The 23,921-nt window shown below is 42.1% G+C and overlaps 1 protein-coding gene across 8 annotated transcripts in view, besides 1 other annotated feature; it reads right to left on the bottom strand.

Moving 5' to 3' along the window:
- Positions 1–23,921, bottom strand: part of METAP1D (methionyl aminopeptidase type 1D, mitochondrial) — an 82,478-nt gene that overhangs the window by 57,761 nt on the left and 796 nt on the right. The window contains exon 1 of one of the 8 annotated variants that reach the window (XM_047443872.1): positions 2,308–5,027. The exons of the other annotated variants lie outside the window; for them this stretch is intronic. The gene's annotated coding sequence lies outside the window, so the exon portion shown is untranslated. Of the gene's footprint in view, positions 1–2,307; positions 5,028–23,921 lie in introns of those variants that run through there. 8 annotated transcript variants of the gene reach the window in all.
- Positions 11,077–11,156: an enhancer, noted in NCBI's record as "active region_16761". NCBI's record gives its function as "activates an Ori minimal core promoter by ATAC-STARR-seq in GM12878 lymphoblastoid cells {active_cell/tissue: GM12878}" and the evidence as "EXISTENCE:reporter gene assay evidence [ECO:0000049][PMID:35858748]".

Raw genomic sequence — 23,921 nt, 5'->3', positions numbered from 1 at the left:
GCCAAATCCTGGGGATTTGGCTGAAAACCAAAAGCCCATTTTCATTCCATAGGGTCTTAGTATAAGGTATATAGCGGGGGGTTACCTGCTTGCCATTGGTGAAGATTACATGTAGGAAGTCATGTCTTTTTTCATGGTTAGGGTTCTGGAGGCCAATTTTTATCTGCCTGGAGAGGTCATTGGTTGGGCTTTGTGGTTTGGGTTTCTCAGAATTATTCTTGTTTGTAAAGACCCCCTGGGCCTCCATGCTTGGTAATGGTCTTTCAGCAGGTAACTAGAGAAAGTATGAGGTGGGTACATTTTTCTGTTTATCTAAATGGCTACTTTCACACCCTTCCCCTTTTTGGTATTAATCCAAGTGGTCTGATTTTGAATTAAGGAGGGGATTTAAAATGGAGGTACACAGATCCTTAAATGAGCAAAAACCAGTACCTTCATTTTTTCCCAACATTTTATGGAACACAACATTTTATGTCAAACACACAAAAAAGCTGAAAGAATTTTACAATGAGGCCAGGCACAGTGGCTCATGCCTGTAATCCCAGCACTTTGGGAGGCCAAGGTGAGCGGATCACGAGGTCAGGAGATCGAGACTATCCTGGCTAACACAGTGAAACCCCATCTCTACTAAAAATACAAAATCAAAAATTAGCCGGGCATGGTGGCGGGCGCCTGTAGTCCCAGCTACTTGGGAGGCTGAGGTGGGGGAATGGCGTGAACCCAGGAGGCAGAGCTTGCAGTGAGCTGAGATCACACCACTGCACTCCAGCCTGGGTGACAGAGCAAGACTCTGTCTCAAAAAAAAAAAAAAAGAATTTTACAGTGAACACTCACACTACCTAGATTTGACAATTAACATTTTACTATACTTACTCTTTACCACATTTCTAAACGTTTCACTATCCATTCACCCATCTTTTTTGGGGGGTGCATTTCAAAGTAAGTTTTAAAGATCAAGATCAGTATTCACTCTCCTATAATACTTCAACATGCTAGATTTTAATATATGTTTATAAGTTCCTTTGTTGGTGTCTTGAGGTAAAATTTACATACCATGATATGCACGAATCTTAAGGTACCATTCGATGAGTCCTGACGAATGCATGTACTGGTGTAACCAACATCTATCAAGATACAAACTATTATCAACCTTCCAGGAGGTTCTCTCCTCCCTTCCAAGCAAATCTTTGCCCTCACCCAGTACTTATAAAAATATGTGGCCTGATGCTTCCACATCATCTGGTGAGGTCAGGGATTGAAATCACTGTAACAATCCTCAAGTGGGGTAACTTAGGCCAGGAAGAAATTATTTTTTTTAGATCACATTAACATGATATGAAAACGAAAGTTCAGTCACTGAACAGTTTAAATGCTTTTCCCACTTGACTGTGTCCCAATTTTTCATTTTAAAATTTCCAAATGAAACTGAAATCAAATTTGTGACTTTAGACTGTTTCCAAGCAAACAAACAATTTTTTTTTGAGATGGAGTTTTGCTTTTGTTGCCCAGGCAGGAGTACAGTGGCATGATCTCGGCTCACTGCAACCTCCGCCTCCTGGGTTCAAGCGATTCTCCTGCCTCAGCCTCCTGAGTAGCTGGAATTACAGGCATGTGCCACCACGCCCAGCTAATTTTTTGTATTTTTAGTAGAGACGAGGTTTCTCCATGTTGGTCAGGCTGATCTCGAACTCCCGACCTCAGGTGATCAGCCCGCCTCGGCCTCCCAAAGTGCTGGGATTACAGATGTTAAGCCACCACACCCGGCTGCAAACAAACAATTGTTTATAATTTTTTGTCAAGACAAACCTATAGGAATAGCTAGTATGGAGAAAAAGAACCATAAATACATTTAAAAAGAGACAAAAACAATTCATATAGAAAATGCAATTAAGTTTAATTGCATTGACTGCTAATACTCACCTTACCATCTTAAAAACAAGTATTTGAAATAAATTCTAATAAAAGGAAAAGCCACGAGTATGTTACATAGCTAAACAGCACATATTTGCTTAATATTTACATTTTTATTATGATTCCAAATCTAATACAACCCAGATTGCAAAAATTAACAATTCCACTTTTTTTACTTATGCAAGCAAAGGCAGTAAGATTACTAAAAATATTCTTAGGATATCTGAAAACTATCAATAAACAGCATCTTTTTTCTTATTTGTTTAATAACTGCTGTCATTCTTTTTGTACGCAGCAATCACAAGATGTCAAACAAATTCTGCCTTGTCTGTGAGTACTGATAGATGTCTCTGCTTGTTTTTATTAAAAACAAAAAAATTTCCCTCCATTAGTTACCAACACTGGAGAAGTCAGGGCACTGCTGGGATGTTCACCAGCCTCTGGGCAAGCAGAGATGCAGCTCAAGAAAACCACAGAGCAAATGTGAATGCCGGAAGACATTTTTCTTTAACTCCCTTGGGGATCCGGCGACTCAACGTCTTAGATTCCCTTAAAGGGAAAAGCAGGAGTCTGCATGGGGGCAGGGTGGGATCATGTTTATCAGTCACAACAGTTCATCTGGGCCTGGATCCAGGTAGTCTGCATGTCTAAATTTGATGAAATATAGGCGCCACCAGGTAACAGTAGTGGTCAGGGAGCTTGCCAGAAACCTGTAACTCAAAACTAAAAAATGAAATTAAAAGACTACTTTAGCTAGGCAATTTCTTTCTTCAGGATGCAAACTGCAAACTACAAAGTTGAAAGAACAGACAATTCTTTGTTTTAAAGTTTCTTCTTCCTAATGTTAACACAACATCTGGGCCAGAAAAATATACACAAACATTTTCATACTTGCAGTTCAATACTGAACCAGCAGAACTTGCTCTCCTCTTCCTCCTTTCCCCTCTCCTCATTCTGCATGGGAGTTTGGCCTATGGCAGGGAGCCAAGGCCAGGGAGGTCTTGGGTGTATCCGGAGGGCAGGTACTCGGGGCAGTGGTGGCTAAGCAGACGCCTGACCCTGTCCTGTCAATAAACCTTAACCCCGACCTGCCAAGCCCCTGAGCCGCTCTTCTCTGTCTAGCCTTTTCTCTAATTGCTCTAAAAATGACTCTTCATTTAAAAGTACCTTTGTGTAAACACCCCACAGGAACTGACAGTCTTCAGAATCACCACACAGTTCTAGTTTTTCAGAAATGCAAGAAAAGTCTTTTACTGTTTGGTGGGACTTTGAAAATCAGTTTCAACTGCTGTGCAAAACAAAGCTCATCACTCGTTTAGCTTACTCTGCAGGTGACATTAATTTTGACTTTTAAGACTCTTTACAATGAAACATTAGACCATTTGATTAAGTAAGTTATTTGAGAGTAAAGATGGAGAAGTGATTTTCCCTGCAGAAACAGACTGCTTCTCTTACTTAGTTCTAAGCACCCCAGAGAGGTTAAGCTCAAATCTCCAGCTTCCTCATTCCATACCAGGAGTCCTGTGCTTCCTCATATAATTCTATCCCCATATATCCTAAAAGGACCAATATCTTTTTACCTAAACGTGAAAATGCAAACAAAAAATTAAAACGAAGAAGTGAGGAGATAATAGAAGAGGTTTTAGAGTATAGGATTTTTTTTAATAATAAAATTAACTCTGCCTTGTAGACAAGTACAAAACAATTTTTTTCTGGTTTGTGGCTTTTTTTAATAGTAGTAAAAAAAATTATATAAACACAATTTACTTTTGACTCCTTGGAAGCAATTCCCTGAGCCACTAAATTATTTCATTCCTATTGACATAATGGGAAAGCCATTTACTGTCAACTTTATAACAGGAAACCAGACCTGAATTTTGCAAATCCCAAGTTCTCTTCTGATTAGATGTAGGTTAAATCCTGCCTTTTAAAGTATGGCTTATTTAAATAGCTCAAATTTTTAAAAATTACTCTCTCTAGTAATTTATTACTAAACACTGACAAATAAAAGAAAGCTCCCCTAAATGTTCTATTTTCTCCACAATACTTATCACCTTCTAAAATACTTTGCTTTACTTATTTTATTTGCTTATTGCCTACCAATGCAAACTCCTATAGGGTAGGGGGTTTTGTCTGTGTTGATGTACTCCCAATGACTAGAACAGTGTCTGGCATATAGTAAGCCCTCAATAGTTTTAGAACTAGTGAATAAAAATTGGACACATTGTGCAAACACTGTTAAATGAAATAAGGGTATTTATCTTATTTCTACTTATCTACCTTACTCTACATTTCAGTATAAGCTCTTATTGTGGGCACGAAAGAAGACGGCCCCTGCTTTTTTTGTTGTTGTTTTTAATCAACTACCCGAAAGCTTTACCTGCCCTCCCCAATACCAGTTAAATTGCAGGGAGGAAAAGCCTTGATATTTCAGAGTTGAAGTAGATTTTAAAAACCACTTAAAACTGAGGTTAGGCCGGGCGCGGTGGCTCACGCCTGTAATCCCAGCACTTTGGGAGGCTGAGGCGGGTGGATCATGAGGTCAGTAAATCAAGACCATCCTGGCCAACATGGTGACACCCCATCTCTACTAAAAACATAAAAATTAGCCGGGCATGATGGCGTGCGCCTGTAGTCCCAGCTACCTGGGAGGCTGAGGCAGGCAAATTGCTTGAACCCGGGAGGTTGCGACAAGCCAAGATTGCGCCACTGCACTCCAGCCTGGAGACAGAGCAAGACTCTTGTCTAAAAAAAAGAAACAAACATACCTGAGATTGGAGCCCTAGAATGCCAGGAGGAATTTGTTGAACATGCAGATTCCCATGTCTCACCTATACCTACTGACTCAAATCCATATGTTCAAGTAACTTATAGTCTAGAAGAGAAAAAATCATGAACTAATTAAGTGATGGTTACAATATAGCACTAGAGGTATGATCAGGAAGCCACTGGAACCAAGAGGTGGCTCGTCTAAATCAAATGGTACTTGAGATGAATTTTAAAGAATGAGCAGAAATGTATTGCTAGATGAAGATTAGTGGCATGCACAATTCACAGAGAGTAGGTTTTATAAAGTTTATAGGTGCTAAGGCTTGACGGAAGAGGCCGCTGCACCTGGCCTCTTGGAGATTATATACATATATATAGTCTCTAGGCCCTTTCCTCCTTGGAAATATATAATATGTATATATTTTATATATATACAATAGACAGAGGGGTCTCTCTATGTTGCCCAGGCTGGTTTTGAACTCCTGAGTTCAAACAATCCTCCCGCCTCCACCTCCCAAAGTACTGGAATTACAGGCATGAGCCACCATGCCCAGCCCCATGAAAGTTTTTAAAAATAGTATTCTATTCTTGTTTTGCGGTTGGAAAATTTTTCTTGAGTATATTATTAATAGTTTTCTAGAAAATTTCTTCTCTGTGTAGTCTCTGAATTCTTTTTCTTTCTTTCTAACCTAGGCTGGAGTACAATGCAGTGGCAGCTCAAGTGATCCTCCTATCTCACACTCTTTCATAGATAGGACTACAGACATCCATCACCACACCCAGCTAATTTTTAAATATTCTGTAGAGATGGGTTCTCACTGTGTTGCCCAAGCTGGTCTTGAACTCCTCGTCTCAAGTGATCCTCCCACCTCAGCCTCCCAGAGTGCTGGGATTACAGGTATGAGCCACTGCGCCTGGCTTCTTTCTTTTGTTTGTTTGGTATTTGTCTTTTATATTAGAGGCGTTCTCAGATATCTGGAAATCCATGGTTGTCTGCTTCTATGTAAGAGTGGGGGATTTAAAACCCTCAGTGGACTCATGAAAGACAAGGAAAGACTGAGGAACTGTCAGAAGATTATAGAAGACTAAGAAGACTTTACAACTAAATTACATTGTGGAATACCGAATTGGATCCTGGAAAACAAAAAGAATTTTAGTGGAGAAATTGGTGAAATTTACCTACATTCTGGAAGATAAATAGGAGGGCAGAAAGGTAATAGCCCGCAGCAGGTGGCGGTGGGGTGAGGGGGGGATGGGGGGTGTCCTAGCATCCAAGTATGCAGTTGTTCACTTAATCTCCCTCATCACTCATCATAGTACCCCACCCTTAACCGGGATACTATGTTGCTAGCCTTCTCCAGTCAGAGACCTCTCTGTTTTATTCTCTCTTGAGAGTGTTTTACTCTCTCCTAAGAATAATTCTGCCAGAATGGTAGAGGGGTAGTCATTACATTTTGTAGAGTATGAGATCTGGAGGTTAGCAGTTCTTCGTTTTAGTTCCACTTCACTCTTGTATCAAGAGATACCTGGTGCCACCAGTTGATTCCTGGGAATTCTTGCTTTCTCTACCACCTGAACAGGATTATGTTTTCTTGGTTCTGCTGCCATTTACTTCCTATTATCTGCTTTTCAGCTTCTGGTCTTTTTTTGCTTGTTTCCTGTTGTCTCCTCTCCTGTTCTCTAATCTTATAGGGTCATGCCCTAATCTACAAGAGAGGCAGCAAGGGTAGATGTGTATTTGAACTTTGGACTTCTGAAATGAATTTTGTTGCATCTTGGCCAGAAATATTGCCCTTATACGTGTCATATTTTGTTTCATTTTACTTCAGTTTTGCAATTTCCTTTTTTTTTTTTTTTTTTTTTGAGACAGAGTCTCACTCTGTCACCCAGGCTGGAGTGCAGTGGTGCGATCTCAGCTCACTACAACCTCCTGCTCCCAGGTTCAAGCGATTCTCCTGCCTCAGCCTCCCAAGTAGCTGGGATTACAGGTGCCTGCCACCACACTCGGCTAATTTTTGTATTTTTAGTAGAGACGGGGTTTCACCATGTTGGTCAGGTTGGTCTCAAACTCCTGATATCGTGATTCACCCGCCTCAGCCTCCCAAAGTGTTGGGATTACAGGTGTAAGCCACCGCGCCCAGCCCAGTTTTAAAATTTCTTTTGTGGGACTAACCCTTATCTAATTTTCAATCCTTTTCCTTTACCTAGTGACAATTACCCAATTTCTCAAACAGTTCACTGGGTCTTATCACCTCTGATATGATGACAGCTTGAAGGGCCTCAAGTTTTTCTGCAAGTCCATTTTTTTTTCTCTATTAAATTCTGGGCAAGACAACACTGTTAATCTTTGAAGACTATCCATGAATCACATTTTTGTCCATATTCCTAATTTTTCCTTTAACTTTTTTTTGCCCTCATACTTCATGTCTGGTAATTTTGTTAGTCAGAAATCTACCACTTACCACTCATGGGATGAAAAAAGCACAGTCCTTACCCTGAGGGAACTTACAGTTTAATACAGGTGAACGTGAGCCACCTTTTATATATATGTATGTATGAAAGGTTTTAGATATATACACATATATACATATATACACATATATACATATATATACACATATATATACATATATACCTATATATACACATATATATACACATATATATGTCTGTCTTGTTCCATGAAAGGTTTTATATATGTGTATATATATAAAATGTGTGTGTGTGTGTGTGTGTGTGTGTGTGTGTGTGTGTAAAACCTTTCATGGAACAAGACAGACTCTTGGAGATTTAAAATATGGCAACAGAAATGAAAACCTCAATTGAAGGGATAGAGAAGAAACTTGAGGAACTCCTCCAGAAAAGAAAGGAAACAGACCAAGTCCAGAGGGGATCTGGGAATTAAAGAACCACACAAATGAACGTGATTTTAAAATGTGATATACGTTACAAAGAAGCATAGACCACAATGACAGAATATATCTGAGGCCCCTCCTTTGGGTAGAGAGGTCAGGAAATCCCTCTCTTAAAGTGACAATGAGATGAAGACCTCAAGAACAAGCAGGAATTAGCCAGATGAAGAGCTGGGGGAAGATGGTTCAAGCACGAGGAATAGCATATGCAAAGATCCCAAGGAGGAAAGGGCCTAGAGAATTACAGCACCTGAGGGGCAGGCCAGTGGACAGGAGTGGAAGGACTGGAGACCAGAGTGAAGGGATGAGGCCAGAGAGCCTTGGAGGTCAGGAACTTACAGTGACTACAATGAGAAGCCAAGAAAAGATTTTAAGGGGGAGTGAAATGATCCAATGTACTTTTAAAATTTATTTTATTTTCATATTTTTCTTTCTTTCTTTCTTTTTTGGGGGGGTGGGGGCAAGGTCTGGCTCTATCGCCCAGGCTGCAGTACAGTGGCGCCATCCTGGCTCACTGCAACCTCCACCTCCCCAGCTCAAGCAATCCTCCCACCTCAGCCTCCCAAGTAGCTGGGATTACAGGTGCACACCACCACGTCCAGCTAATTTTTGTATTTTTTTTTGTAGAGACAGGGTTTTTCCATGTTGCCCAGGCTGGTCTCGAACTTCTGGGCTGAAGCCATCCACCTGCCTTGGCCTTCCAAAGTGGTGGGATTACAAGCATTAGTCACCACGCCTGGACTATTTATATATATATATATATATATATATATATATTTTTTTTTTTTTTTTTTTTTTTTTTGAGACAGGGTCTCACTCTGTCACCCAGGCTGGAGTGCAGTGGCATGATCTCAGCTCACTGCAACCTTGGACTCCTGGGTTCAAGCAATTCTCCTGCCTCAGCCTCTTAAGTAGCTGGGATTACAGGCACATGTGACCGCGCCCAGCTAATTTTTTTTTTCTTTTTTTGTTTTTTTTTTTTTGATAGAGACGGAGTTTCACTATATTAGCCAGGCCGATCTCGAACTCCTGACCTCAAGTGATCTGCCCGCCTCAGCCTCCCAAAGTGTTAAGATTACAGGCATGAGCCACCATGCCCGGCTCTCTATTTTTATAGTTTTAAGACACAAGAGTCCCACTCTGTTGCCCAGGCTGGAGTGCAGTGGCACAATCATAGCTCACTGCAGCCTTAAACTCCTGGGCTAAAGCAATCCTCTACCTCAGCCTCCCGAGTAGCTACATGCACATGCCACCATACCCAGCTAATTTTTAAATGTTTTATAAAGATGGGGGTCTCACTATGTTGCCCAGGCTAGTCTGGAACTCCTGGCCTTAAGCGATCCTCCCATCTTGGCTTTCCAAAGTGCTGGGATTACAAGTGTGAGCCACCATGTCTGGCCACAATGTACTTTTTCAAAGGTCACTTGACTGCAGTGTGGAGAATAAACTGGAGGAAGTATAATAGTTTAATAGGCAGTATTTTAATGACCATACAACAGCCCATCTCAACTTATGAATAAATCATAATTTACTGAATCATTTCTCTATTTTATTGGACATTTAGACTATTTCCAGTTCTTTGCTAATATTAATATAAGCGACACTGTAATAAACATTCTTGAACCTAAATCTTTGGCAGCATCTCTAATTATTTTCTTTCTTTTTTTTGAGACAGAGTCTCACTGTTGCCCAGGCTCGAGTGCAGTGGTGCAATCCCAGCTCACTGCAACCTCCACCTCCTGGGTTCAAGTGATTCTCCTGCTTCAGCCTCCCAAGTAGCTGGGATTACAGGTGGGCGCCACCATGCCTGGCTAATTTTTGTACTTTTAGCAGAGACGAGGTTTCGCCATTTTTGGCCAGGCTGGTCTCAAATTCCTGACCTCTGGGATTACAGGCGTGAGCCACCACGCCCGACTTAATTATTTTCTAAATATAGATTTCTAGAAGTGGAATTAAGTAAATAAGTTAAAGGGTATGAAATTTTGTGGCTATTTTATAAAAATTGTTTTTAAAAGATAAAGATTTTGATCATTAAATATAAAAAATCTACTTTGCAAAATGGATATCTTTTCACCTATCCAGTCAAATTATATCAGCGGAAATGTGCTTTAAAAAGATGAAAAACTAGGCCAGCGCAGTGGCTGACGCCTGTAATCCCAGCACTTAGGGAGGCTGAGGTGGGCGGATTACAAGGTCAGGAGTTCGAGACCATCCTGGCTAACATGGTGAAACCCCATCTCTACTAAAACTAAAAAAAAATAGCCGGGTGTGCTGGCGGGCGCCTGTAGTCCCAGCTACTCGGGAGGCTGAGGCAGGAGAATTTCTTGAACCCGGGAGATGGAGGTTGCAGTGAGCCGAGATTGCACCACTGCACTCCAGCCTGGGCAACAGGGCCAGACTCTGATTCAAAAAAAGAAAAAAAGATGAAAAACTATCTGGATGTAAAAATTACCACATTGTAAAAAATAAGTGGCAAGATAGTCATCAAAACCAATACTGTCCAACTTCTTGGTCAGAACAGGCCACATTTTAAACAACCAACATGTCAGAAGCAGGCTATGCCTCTGAATCAAATGACTACACCTTTGGGACAACCTAAAATAATCCCAATGTAATGTAATATGCTAAGTATATATCTCTTTGTGTTTTTATAATAATAAATTTCTGACCAGGCACGGTGGCTCATGCCTGTAATCCCAGCACTTTGGGAGGCTGAAGCAGGCAAATCACCTGAGGTCAAGAGTGCAAGACCAGCCTGGCCAACATAGTGAAACCCTGTCTCTATTAAAAATACAAAAATTAGCCAGGCATGGTGGCAGGTGCCTGTAATCCCAGCTACTTGGGAAGGCTGAGGCAGGAGAATCGCTTGCACCCAGGAGGTGGAGGTTGCAGTGATCCTGCTACTGCACTCCAGCCTGGGTGACAGAGTGAGATTCCCTCTCAAAAAAAAAAGTAGTCCAGATGCAGTGGCTCACGCCTGTAATCCCAGCACTTTCAGAGGCCGAGGCAGGCAGATCACTTGAGGTCAGGAGTTCGAGATCAGCCTGGCCAATATGGTGAAACCCCGTCTCTACTAAAAAATACAAAAAATTAGCTGGGCATGGTGGTGCGCACCTGCAGTCCCAGCTACTCGGGAAGCTGAGCCAGGAGAATCGCTTGAACCCAGGAGGCGGAGGTTGCCCTGAGCCAAGATCACGCCACTGCACTCCAGCCTGGGTGACAGAGCAAGACTCTGTCTCAAAAAAAAAAAAAAAGAAAAAAAAAGTATAATGTTTCTTTGTTATAAATATATTTACAAATTGGAAAAAATGCTTCATCAGACTGTGTCTCCCAATGCTGTGCATGGTCACGTTCTGCCAAGCAAAGCTGTCATTTTGCTCTCTCTATTCTCTCACATGTGGCCTCTTTCACACGCAAATTTCCCTCCTTTGTTCCTCATTTCAGTGACCAGCATCTGCATACCCAAGCCCCTTTATGTCCTTGCCTACTTCTTCTCCCTGCCATCCTGTCTTTGTATACAGGCCTCACCACCCTAATATTGACATATTTATTTTCTCTCCCATGGATGTGATCCCCCTCTCTCCCACACTACTTCGCTCTCACTTTCATCTTCCCTCAGACTCCTGAGACCTGTCACCTTTCCTCTCCCTTCTCTAATAACTCCTGCCCCCGGTCCTAGTTCAGGGAAGAACTGTTAAGTCAAGAAATCTGCCAAGGTGGCTGAGGGGACAACTGGGGCAGATGCGTAGATGCTGGGCATGAGGACACCAGGTGGCCAGGCTGGGTTTCCCAGGCCTCTGAGGCAGGAGGGGGTGGACCTGAACTAAAAGATGGGGCCAACGAAGCCGGGGACAGAAGCCAAGTCCTGCTGCTCGACAGCCGGAGCGCACACACAAGCCACCCGGAAATGCTCTGTGGCCTGGATGGGCTCTGAGAGTTGCCAGTTGGACATACTGACCTAGACAAGCAATTAGCTGTGTTCAAGGTCTGCTGCACAGATCATATACTCTTGTAAACTAGGCTAAATCCCCTGTTAAGAGTTACTGATTTTTCTTCCCCTAAATTCTCCAGATTTACAGTCACAATAAGAATTGGAAAACAAATCAGACAAGGGAACTGAACATTTGACACATACCGAACATGAGACTTAATGTTCTTTTATGTACTTTTGGAAACAAACCAGGTATTCAGTGAACACTGGGAGATCTAGTAGGTATGTTTAATGAGAATTTGTACCGGGAAGGAATTTGAGATCAAGGTCAGGAATGATTAATATGCATGCAGGAAGTCATCAACATTTAAGCATAAGCAGTATGAATCTCATTAAATCTTCAATAGCTTCCTATTGCCTGAAGGAACTGGTGGCATTCTAATGATTAAAGCAGTAACATTAAGGTAGAAAACAACATTAGAAAATTAATCTGACCCTCATGAAACAAGCTACCCCAAAATACTAAGCCACAAAAACTGGCTTTGCGAGACTGTCTTCCGCAGCTGTGATTTTTCTTTAAAGTGCAGCATCTCCTTCCGTTAAGTTAGAAGGCTTTGGTAAAAGTGACCAGTGACAGAGGTGTTCAAGGGCTCTCTTTTTAAAATCTAGGTAATTGATACTCTCCCCCACGCTTCACCCCATGGTGAAGCCATCACGTTGCTATCTAGCTGTTTGTCCCGTCTCCCACTCACTAGCCCCAGAACAGCCTTCTCCTGCTGTGTCCCTCACTCGCTTTTCTGATTGCAGTGCCCCTGCGCTCGGGCGATGTCCTGAACAGCTGCTATGCACAGAGCATAAAGTAGGGGAGAGAGGACAGAAGACCACAGAGAGGAGTTGTCCTTTGAAATATCAATTCTTAAAGAGGTTGGTATTCAGGAGCATCAGCTAGTTTGAGGAGAATAAGGCCAGGGAGCTCTTTTCTCTCCTGACCTATTTCTATTTGATCTTAATCATAATCTTACTGACAGAGACAGGGTGTGTGGGACCCCACGTCCAGAATGATCACAATGCTGACTCAAAGGAAAAACAAGGTTGTGATAATATAGACTCTAAATGTGAAAGATAAAAGGGATGGCAAGAGTTAACTTTCATAAAGGAATATTTCAGTACTTAATAAACGTTGTCTTGTGGATGTGGTAATTTTACCACATCCTTACCAGTTTCTTTGCTTCCCTCTGCATCTAAACATAGCCTATTTCAAAACCAAAACAAAATATATGTCCGCAGAAAAACACATACACAAATATTCATAGTAGCATTATTCATAAGAACTAAAAAGTAGAAATGACCCAAATGTCCACAAACTGGTGAATGGATAAACAAAATGTGATATATCCATACAGTGGCATATTATACAGCAATAAACTGACACATGCCACAATAGGGATGAACCATGAAAACATCATGCTAAATGAAAGAAGCCAGTCACAAAAGACTGCATGTTGTATGATTCCATTATATGAAATGTCCAGGAGAGGCAAATCTATAGAAACAGAAAGATTAGGCCGGGCGCGGTGGCTCACGCCTGTAATCCCAGCACTTTGGGAGGCCAAGGCAGGAGGATCACGAGGTCAGGAGATCGAGACCAGCCTGGCTAACACAGTGAAACCCTGTCTCTACTAAAAATACAAAAAATTAGCTGGGCGTGGTGGCGGGCGCCTGTAGTCCCAGCTACTCTGGAGGCTGAGGCAGGAGAATGGCATGAACCTGGGATGCGGAGCTTGCAGTGAGCCGAGATCGCGCCACTGCACTCCAGCCTGGGCGACAGAGTGAGACTCCATCGCCAAAAAAAAAAAAAAAAGAAACAGAAAGATTAGTGGTTGCTTAAGGATGAGGGGATGGGCAGATTGGGGAGTGACTGCTAATGGGTAAGAGGTTTCTCTTTGGGGTGATAAAAATGTAAAACTGATTGTGGTGATGCTTGCACAACTCTTTGAATATACTAAAAAATCACTGAATTATACACCTTAAATAGGTGAACTGTATGGACTGTGAATTATATCTCAAAAAAGCTGTTAAGATTGAACAGACAGGCTGGGCGCGGTGGCTCACGCCTGTAATCCCAGCACTATGGGAGACTGAGGCAGGCAGATCACTTGAGGTCAGGAGTTTAAGAGACCAGCCTGGCCAACATGGTGAAACCCCACCTCTACTAAAAATACAAGTTAGCCAGGTGTGGTGGCATGTACCTGTAATCCCAGCCACTCGTGAGGCTGAGGCAGGACAATCGCTTGAACCTGGGAGGCGGAGGTTGCAGTGAGTGGAGATCGAGATCATGCCACTGCACTCCAGCCTGGGTGAAAGATCAGAGACTTCATCTCAAAAAAAAAAAAAAAAACATTGGGCAGGTGAATCACTTGAGGCCAGGAGTTCAAGACCAGCCTGGCCAACATGGCGAAACCCTGTCTCTTACTAAAAATACAAAAACTAGCCAGGCGAGGTGGCACACGCCTACAATCTCAGCCACTCGGGGGGCTGAGGCAGGAGAATCACTTGAACCCGGAGGCACAGGTTGTAGTGAGCTGAGATTGCACCACTGTCCTCTAGCTTGCGTGACAGAGTGAGATTCTGTTAAAAAAAAAAAAAAAAAAAAGAGGAAAGAAGGAAAGAAGGAAAAAAGTTGTTAAAAAAAAAAAAAAAGGGCTGGGTGCAGTGGCTCACATCTATAATCCTAGTACTCTGGGAGGCCAAGGTGGGCTGACCAATCACTTGAGCTCAAGAGTTCAAAGCCAGCCTGGGCAACATGGTGAAACCCCATCTCTACAAAAAATGCAAAAAATTAGCCAGGTGTGGTGGTGTGCACCTGTAGTCCCAGCTACTTGGGGGGCTGAGGTGGAAGGATCGCTTGGGCCTGGGAGGTCAAGGCTGCAGTGAGTTGAGATTGCGCCACTGCACTCCAGCCTGGGTGACAAAGTGAGACCCTGTCTCAAAAAAAAAAAAAAAAGAAGGGACAAAAAACCCCTCCACAATTCTCTACAACCACCACCAACTGTCACTTTTCACAAGCTCCTTCTACTGCTAAATTTTGCTCCAAGCCGCCATCATCACTAGTGGCCAAATTCACTGATACTTAGTCATCCTGCAATTTCATCTTAGAGACTCTTTTCCCTACTAAGTTCTCTGTTCCTGCCAACTCCTCCTTTTCTGCTTTGATGCCCCTTCCCTTCCTCGGGTCTCCTTTCCAGCAAACCACCAGGTCATGATGATTTCTCCTCTGTACCATTTCCTTGGCATCCATCTCTCCCTTTCCATCCCGCAGTCATTACCCTAGTTCAGGTCCTTCTGTTTCTGCCATTATCTTCTAACTGACTGCAATGGCTTTCCCTCTCCAATACATTCAGAACACACAAGCAGCAGATTAAAATGGAGACACCATCTCACTTTCTTGTTAATCCTCTCTTACCCTACAGTCTTCCACTCTAACATTAAGGTATAGTAAGAGTTTCTTAAATTCCATATATTAGAAATGCTACTTCTGTCAATAGCTCTTCTATCTTGAATCTTGCAATCCTGCCTCACAATTTCAATGCTCCATGACGTTTCATATACTTTCAGAAAATTAAAGAAGTAGATACACAATTAAAAATAAACCCATATAAAAAAAATTAACCCATATAATGACCCGAAACAAAAATTCATTGGTCACTTTTGGAGGATAAACCTGTTACGGTAGTCTCCTCTTAGATAAGAGTTTCAGTTATCCAAGGTCAATCAAGGTCTAAAAATATTAAATAGAAAATTCCAGGCCGGGCGCGGTGGCTCACGCCTGTAATCCCAGCACTTTGGGAGGCCGAAGTGGGCGGACCACGAGGTCAGGAAATCGAGACCATCCTGGCTAACACGGTGAAACCCCGTCGCTACTAAAAAATACAAAAAAAATTAGCCTGGCGCGGTGGTGGGCGCCCCTAGTCCCAGCTACTCGGGAGGCTGAGGCAGGAGAATGGCGGGAACCCGGGAGGTGGAGTTTGCAGTGAGCAGAGATCGCGCCACTGCACTCCAGCCTGAGAGACACGGCGAGACTCTGTCTCAAAAAAAAAAAAAGAAAGAAAATTCCAGAAATAAACAATTCACAAACACACCGTTCTGCACAGCGTGATGAAATCTCACACTGGCCCACTCCATTCTGCTCAGGACATGAATCCTCCCTTTTGTCAGCAGGTCCACACCCTGCACACTAGCAACCCATTAGTCATCCACATTCTCTGCTTCTGACATCATGTCATGGCTTAGTGATCCAGGATCACCTGAAGCAGATGATTCTCCTTCAGACATGTAGTCTAAAACTACATCACAATGCTTTCTCATTCACCTCACTTCATCACGTAAGCATTTTATCATCTCACATCATCATAAAAAAAAAGGGGTGAGCACAGTGAAAAAGATATTTTGAGAGAAAGGCCACATTCACCTAACTTTTATTACAGTATATTGTTAAAATTGTTCTATTTTTAGTGATTGTTGTTAATTTCATACTCTGCCTAATTTATAAATTAAACCTTACCACAGAAATGTGTGTATAGGAAAAAGCATAGTACAGCACCGTGCAGGGTTCAGTACCATCTGTGGCTTCAGACATCCACTGAGGGTCTGGGAACATACCCCCATTGGATAAGCGGGGGACTATGGTATTTTAAAAACTGATAAATAAGGAGAACAAACCATTTAACTTTCCTTGCTGGGACAGGGCCTGTCAGGGTAATGAAATACTTGATGAGAAAGTTTCTCTTTGTAGATGTTTTCTAGCTGATAAATAAAGAAGGAGTAATTAAAATATTGTCATTTGTAAACTCCTAATGAGCCAGGTCATGATTGCCAATGGCCACTAATGTCTCCAATGTCTCCAGGCCACAATGTCTCCAGCAACACCACTATGAAGTACTTGTACCAAAAAATGTCTAACTTAAATCAGGCCTTGGATCTAACTACCATTTTATAGAGGAACATCTTCAACAAGCCCTGTGGAATATAATACCATCAGCAAAATCCACAAAATGCAAAGCTCCACAGAACCAATAGGCTAACCAGTTGCTTCAACAAATAATTTTCAAAAAAAAAAAAAAAGGGAAAGTAAACTTATAGATTAAAAAAAATAATAATATCCGGCTAGGCGCGGTGGCTCATGCCTGTAATCCCAGCACTTTGGGAGGCTGAGGTGGATCACTTGAGATCAGGAGTTGGAGACCAGCCTGGCCAACATGGTGAAACCCCGTCTCTACTAAAAATACAAAAATTAGCCGGGTGTCGTGGCATGCGCCTGTAATCTCAGCTACACAGGAGGCTGAGGCAGGAGAACTGCTTGAACCCAGGAGAAGAAGGTTGCAGTGAGCTGAGAATGCGCCACTGCACTCCATCCTGGGCAACAGAGACTCTGTCTCAAAAAAAACAAAATTAATATCCTTTTCCATCCATTCCAGCATAACTGGTACTAGAATTCCCACCTGTCTTAACCAATTAGACAAAATATGTGAAGCAACTATATCTTGGCACTGGATATTAGGCAATGCAGGACCATGAACCTTAAAAGAAAACAATACAACACATGAGCCCACACTGGCCTCAGCCACCCCCTAGAACTAACAGCAAAACACAAATAGATCCATCCTAACAGAGAATAAAAACCAAGCCTGAAAGAATCAAACAGATTTAACATATTGCCTGGCAGTTGTTTAAAACATATGTTAAAGAAAAACAACATAATCTCCACCAAGATATTATCTGTCATGCCACTTATAAAATTAAATATTACATGATTAGCCAGACATGGTGGTGTGCGCCTATAGTCCCAGCTACTTGGAAGGCTGAGGCAGGAGGATTGCTTGAGCCCAGGAGTTTGAGGTTGCAGTGAGCTATGATTGTACCACTGCACTCCAGCCTGGGTGACAGAACAAGGCCCTTCTCTTAAAAAAAAAAAAAAAAAAAAATTACATGACATGGGAAGCAGCAGGAAAACGTAATGTACAATAAAAAAAAAAACAGCAGTCAACAAAACAGAAACAGACTCTGAGGAGACCCAATAATAAAATTAACAGATTTTTAAAAAGCTGTTATAAATATGTATGTTCAAGTACTTAAAGGAAAAGATGAACATAATGAGTGAACAGGTGGGAAATCTCAACAAGAAATGGAAATTATAATGCAAATTCTAGAACTGATATGTACAACGTAAGAAGAAAAAAATGGCTCCCTATCTTTTAGAGATACACGGTAAAAAATCTACAGATGAAATAATATATCTGGAATGTGCTTCAAAATAATCCACCTGTGGGGAGGCAAAGTAACTGGGAGTATAGATGTAACAATAGTGGCCATAGGTTGATGACTATTGTAACTAGATGATGGCTACGTGGGAGTTCATTGTACTATTCTCTCTACTTTTGCATTATGTTTAACTGTCTCCATGTTCAAAAGCTAAAAAAGAAAATTCAGTCTCCGTAAAAACAAGCTGTTTCAGCTTAAAACTAGATGTTGTTCAAATGAAGTTCTGCATACACATAGTACTTCTCCCATCTTTGCCAAGTTCCCTAAGATATATAGCATCCACACTGATTTTTATGGATTTCTAATGCTTGAGGAAAGCGGGTATTTCATAGAAACTATAAATATTGGCCAGGCGCAGTGGCTCACACCTGTAATCCCAGCACTTTGGGAGGCCAAGGCAGGCAGATCACGAGGTCAGGAGATCGAGACCAGCCTGGCTAACACGGTGAAACCCCATCTCTACTAAAAATACAAAAAATTAGCTGGGCGTGGTGGCAGGTGCCTGTAGTCCCAGCTACTTGGGAGGCTGAGGCAGGAGAATGGCATGAACCTGGGAGGCGGAGCTTGCAGTGAGCCGAGATCCCGCCACTGCACTCCAGCCTGGGTGACAGAGCGAGACTTCGTCTCAAAAAAAAAAAAAAACAAAAACTATAAATATCTGCTTGTATGTCATACTCTGTGTGTATACATGTTATATACACTTAGACACATGTATACACATATACAGAAATATTGATATTTTATTTACAAAATGTGAGTAGCTTATATTGTTTTATAACTTGCTTTTCCATAATAATGTATTTTGTGGACATCATTCCATACCAACAAATGCAGGTCAATATATTTTTTTTTAATGACTGCAAAGCATTCATCACTGAGGGTCTATATGCCCTGTAGTATACATTGAAATTTCATAATTTCAATGGGAGACAGAACTATTTGTAGTACAGAAAGCTGTTTCACATCAACCAATGAGTAGATAAATAAAATGTGTTATACATGGTAGCTTATGCCTGTAATCCCAGCACTTTGGGAGGCCGAGGTGGGTGGATCATTTGGGTCAGGAGTTTGAGATCAGCCTGGCCAACATGGTGAAATCCCGCCTCTACAAAAAAATACAAAAATTAGCCGGGCATGGTGGCGGGTGCCTGTAGTCCCAGCTATTCAGGAGGCTAAGGCAAGAGAATTGCTTGAACCCGGGAGGCGGAGGTTGCAGTGAGCCGAGACTGCACCACTGCACTCCAGCCTGGGTGACAGAGAGACTCTCAAAAAAAAAAAAAAAGATATATATATATATATATATATATAAAATACAGACACCATGGAATACTACTCAGACATAAAAAGGAACAAAATAATGTCTTTTGTAGCAACTTGGATGGAACTGGAGGCCATTATTCTAAGTGAAGTAACTCAGGAAAAGAAAACCAAATACTGTATGTTCTCACTTATAAGTGGGAGCTAAGCTATGAGGATGCAAAAACATACAGAGCAATATAATGAACTCTAGGGATGCAGGGGTGAAGGATAAAAGAAAACATACTGGGTACAATGTACACTGCTTGGGTGATGGGTGCACTAAAATCTCAGAATTCACTTCTAAAGTATTCATCCATGTAACGAAAAACTACCTGTACCCCAAAAACTATTGAAATAAAACATAAAATAAATAAATAAGAAAGAAAGAAAACTGTTTCACAGCCTGGGCAGCATGATGATAACCTGTCTTTATGAAAAAAACAAAAAATTAGCTGGGTGTGGTGGTGTGCGCCTAGCCACTCAGGAGGTTGAGGTGGGAGGACTGGTCGAGCCCAGGAAGTTGAGGCTGTAGTGACCTGTGATTGTGCCACTGCACTCCAGCCTTCGTGACAGAGACCCTGAAAAAAGAAAAAAAAAAGGAAGGAAGAAAGGAAGCAAGCTAGCTGTTTCAAATAGAGGAAAACACATACAAGTATGTATGGATTTAGGAGCACTTTAGAGCCAAGGTTTCATAAGTATTTCTTAATCTGTGTAGTAACATGCCATATTATAATAGAATTGGAATGTATTTGTTAAAAGATGTCATACGGCAAAACTCCATTTCCATTCTCTGGATGTCAACAGGAATGTAGTCTAAGTAATAGGAAGCTAAACTTAGGAATGTTAGCATTTTCCAAATCACCCATGAATTGCATCCCAAAAGTTTAATTATAAGTTGGTTTGGCGGCTGGGCGTGGTGGCTCATGCTTATAATCCCAGCACTTTGGGAGGCCGAGGCAGGTGCGTCACCAGAGGTCAGGAGTTCGAGACCAGCCTGGCCAACATGGCGAAACCCCCGTCTCTACTAAAAATACAAAAATTAGCCGGGCATGGCGGCGGATGCTTGTAATTCCCACTACTCAAGAGGCTGAGGCAGGAGAATCACTTGAATTTGGGTGGCAGAGGTTGCAGTGGGCCAAGATCACACCACTGCATTCCAGCCTGGGCAACAGAGCAAGACTCCGTCTCGATTTAAAAAAAAAAAGAAAAGTTGGTTTGGCAAAACTGAGCAGACATTTTCCTGCAGAAGCTATACAAGATAGCAAGGATCTCAGGGCAGTTGGCAAAAGTTTAAAGTACTTAACTCATGATGTATAACAGCCCCTCCCCTGCCTGGCTATTACATTTTTGAAAAACCACTAAGGTAACAAAATTCTCAGTGGAGGAGTCTAGGGCCTTACAGTCACAAGTGAACAAAAGTACTTCTAAGTTTTTTTTATATTTGTTAAAAATAAGTAAATGGCCAGGTGCGGTGGTTCATGCCTGTAATCCCAGCACTGTGGGAGGCTGAGGCAGGCGGATCACTTGAAGTCAGAAGTTCAAGAGAGACCAGCCTGGCCAACATGGCAAAACCCCGTGTCTACTTAAAAATACAAAAATTAGCCAGGCGTGGTGGTGGGCACCTGTGGTCCCAGCTACTCGGGAGGCTGAGGCAGGAGAATCACTTCAACCCGGGAGGCAGAGGTTGCAGTGAGCCAAGATCGCACCACTGCACTTCACCCTGTGCTACAGGGCGAGACTCTGTCTCAAAAAAAAAAGAAAGAAAATATGCCCTCTTACTTGCTGTATTAGTCTGTTCTCACACTGCTATGAAGAAATTCCTGAGACTGGGTAATTTATAAAGAAAAGGGGTTTAATTGACTCACAGTTCTGCATGGCTCGGGAGGCCTCAGGAAATGTATAATCATGGCAGAAGGCACCTCTTCACAGGGTGGCAGGAGAGAGAATGAGTGCAAGCAGGAGAAAATGCCAGACGCTTATAAAACTATCAGATCTCCTGAGACTCACTCATTATCACAAGAACAGAATGGGGGAAACTATCCCCATGATCCAATTACCTCTACCTGGTCCTGCCCTTGACACATGGGGATTATTACAATTCAAGCTGAGATTTCCTTGTTCCTCTTCATATTCACTGGGATCTTGCTTCGTGGCCCGAGCTAGACCTGGGATTCCAGTGAAGCGAGGGCTGGGAGTGAGACTGAGATAGGAGAGAGTTCCTGGGGCCCCAGGGTAGGGATTCTGTACTCTGAGGAAGGGATTTCCTGCCAGCACTAATACTTGGGAGTATTTTAGTCCCTTAAAGGCCCTTGTTACCTTCTCTCTTGGTTCCAAGAGGCTGATCTGTCTTTTCCTCTTTCCAATGTCACTACTCATAGTTTCTACCCAACCCTCCTTAGACCATGATGGAAGAGAACAAATCTTAACAGCCTCTCAATTCTGTATACTTTTAATGAGCTTAACTTTGAGCCAGGTACTGTGCTTATAAAGACAGAAAGATACATAAGACAAAGCTTCTGTTCAACAAGAATTAATAATCTAGTAAGGAGCAGAAATGGTGAGAGGAGCTAGGTAACTACTGTATATAGGGTATACTGTGACCAAAGCCACAATGAGTTGAGGCGTCACAAGAGAAACCTCATGCCTTTTTTAAAAGGTTAAAAAAAAGTCTTCCTCTATTTCAAGAAGAAATGATGCTCATAAATGCTGATAATAAATCCTGGTACATGAAGACTTGTAATGGATTGCTTTACATAAATCTAGATGGGTGAAAGGGAGGAAGAGGGTGGAGAGAGGAGTCTTCGTGAATTTACCCTTCATTTTCAATTCTTGGGGGTGGGGAGCAGGAAAACCTCTCTGCAATTTAAAACTAGCTATGGGTAGTCCAAAAAGGGGCCCTTTCTCCATCATTAAAATAGCTTCCTGATGACACATTTTTCTTCTCTCCTCTAATCAGAGGATCCACTTCTTGGTTGTTGCAACACTTTGGGATACAGTGGGATGGATTATAGGAACCAATAACTTGGCCTGACTTCCATATAATATATTTTCTCAAGACTGTCTAAACCACCATTTGTCAAAATAATAAGTGATCAAAAAGAAAGAAAAGATTAATGCTATTTCTGTTATCTGCAAAGAGATGTTATATATACAGTTGGTGCAAAGTAATCACAGTTTTTGTCATTGATTCTAAAACTGCAATTACTTTTGTACCAACCTAATACATATATACACACATATAAAAATACGTTTATACATGCATAGGTGTATATATATATACATACATACACCTATGTATGTTTTCAGGTTGTTTTTTTTTTGGCTCCTCCTCTACATTGACTATCTCCTCAGATCCTTCTCACCATTACCTGAAGCATACAAAAATGAAGTCTAAAAGCCATGATTTCTTGTGAAAAGAGGAAACAGAAAAGTAATTAGTAAAGAAAGTTTGGACTGGAACCCAGATCTTTTTTTTTTTTTTTTCAGCTCACTACAACCTCCGCCTCCTGGGTTCAGGCGATCCCTCCCACCTCCACCTCCCAAGTAGCTGGGATTACCAGCATGTGCCACCACACCTGGCTAATTTTTGTATTTTTAGTAGAGACAGGTTTCACCATGTTGGCCAGGCTGGTCTTGAACTCCTGGCCTCAAGTGATCTGCCCGCCTTGGCCTCCCAAAGTGCTGGGTAATATTACAGGCATTAGCCACCTTGCCAGGCCTGGCACCCAGATCTTGAGAGATGTAAATTGGCTGTCTTTTCACAAGGCTACACTCTCATGCTGATGTCCATTCCTTCATGCAACCAGTCCAAAATGCTCGCTACATCACCTTCCCCATACACATCTCTCCCCTCAAATCTTCCTGTGGCCCCTTTCTCATCTCCACTAACACTGAAATACTGAAGTCTATTCGATTACCAACCTTCTTCCTCTCTAAAAATATCTTCCTCTTCACTTCTTATTTTTTATTATTTTTATTTATTTTTTTTTTCTGAGACGGAGTCTCGCTCTGTCGCCCAGGCTAGAGTGTAGTGGTATGATCTCAGCTCACTGCAACCTCCACCTCCTGGGTTAAAGCAATTTTCCTACCTCAGTCTCCCGAGTAGCTGGGATTACAGGCATGCGCCACCACGCCCAGCTAATTGTGTATATTAGTAGAGACGGGGTTTCACCATGTTGGCCAGGCTGGTCTTGAACTTCTGACCTCAAGTGAGCCACCTGCCTCGGCCTCCCAAAGTGCTGGGTTTACAGGTGTGAGCCACCGTGCCCAGGCTCTCTTCACTTTTTGTACACACTCATCCTGCACTGTCTCTGCTGAACTTTACACACTGACTTCTATGGAGTGACCACGTCATGCAGTACCGAGAAATGAGTCTTAAAAAAAAAAATTAGAGTCATGTTCAAATGAGCAATCTGCCTCTTACCATTTATGCGACCTTAGTAATGTTACTTAACCTCTCTAGCCTTACTTTTCCCTTCTGCAAAGAGAAAATAATTCCTAACTCACTGGGTTTTTGTTTTTGTTTTTGAGACAGGGTCTGGCTCTATTGCCAAGTCTGGAGTTCAGTGGTACGATCACGGCTCACTGCAGCCTCTTGACCTCCCAGGCTCAAGCGATCCTACCACCTCAACCCCCAGAATAGCTGAGACTACAGGCATGTGTCACCACGCCCGACTAATTTTTAAAATTTTTTGTAGAGACGGGGTCTCATTCATTGAGTTTTAAAAGGAAGCAAGCATATGTAAGGCGCTTAACACAGTATCGTGTACTTAAAAGGCACT

Source organism: Homo sapiens, chromosome 2 (genome assembly GCF_000001405.40).
Source record: "Homo sapiens chromosome 2, GRCh38.p14 Primary Assembly".
In the NCBI taxonomy this organism is placed as follows: Eukaryota; Metazoa; Chordata; class Mammalia; order Primates; family Hominidae; genus Homo; species Homo sapiens.
The sequence above is the reverse complement of the archived record's forward strand: the minus strand, read 5'-3'. Positions and strand labels throughout refer to the sequence as shown.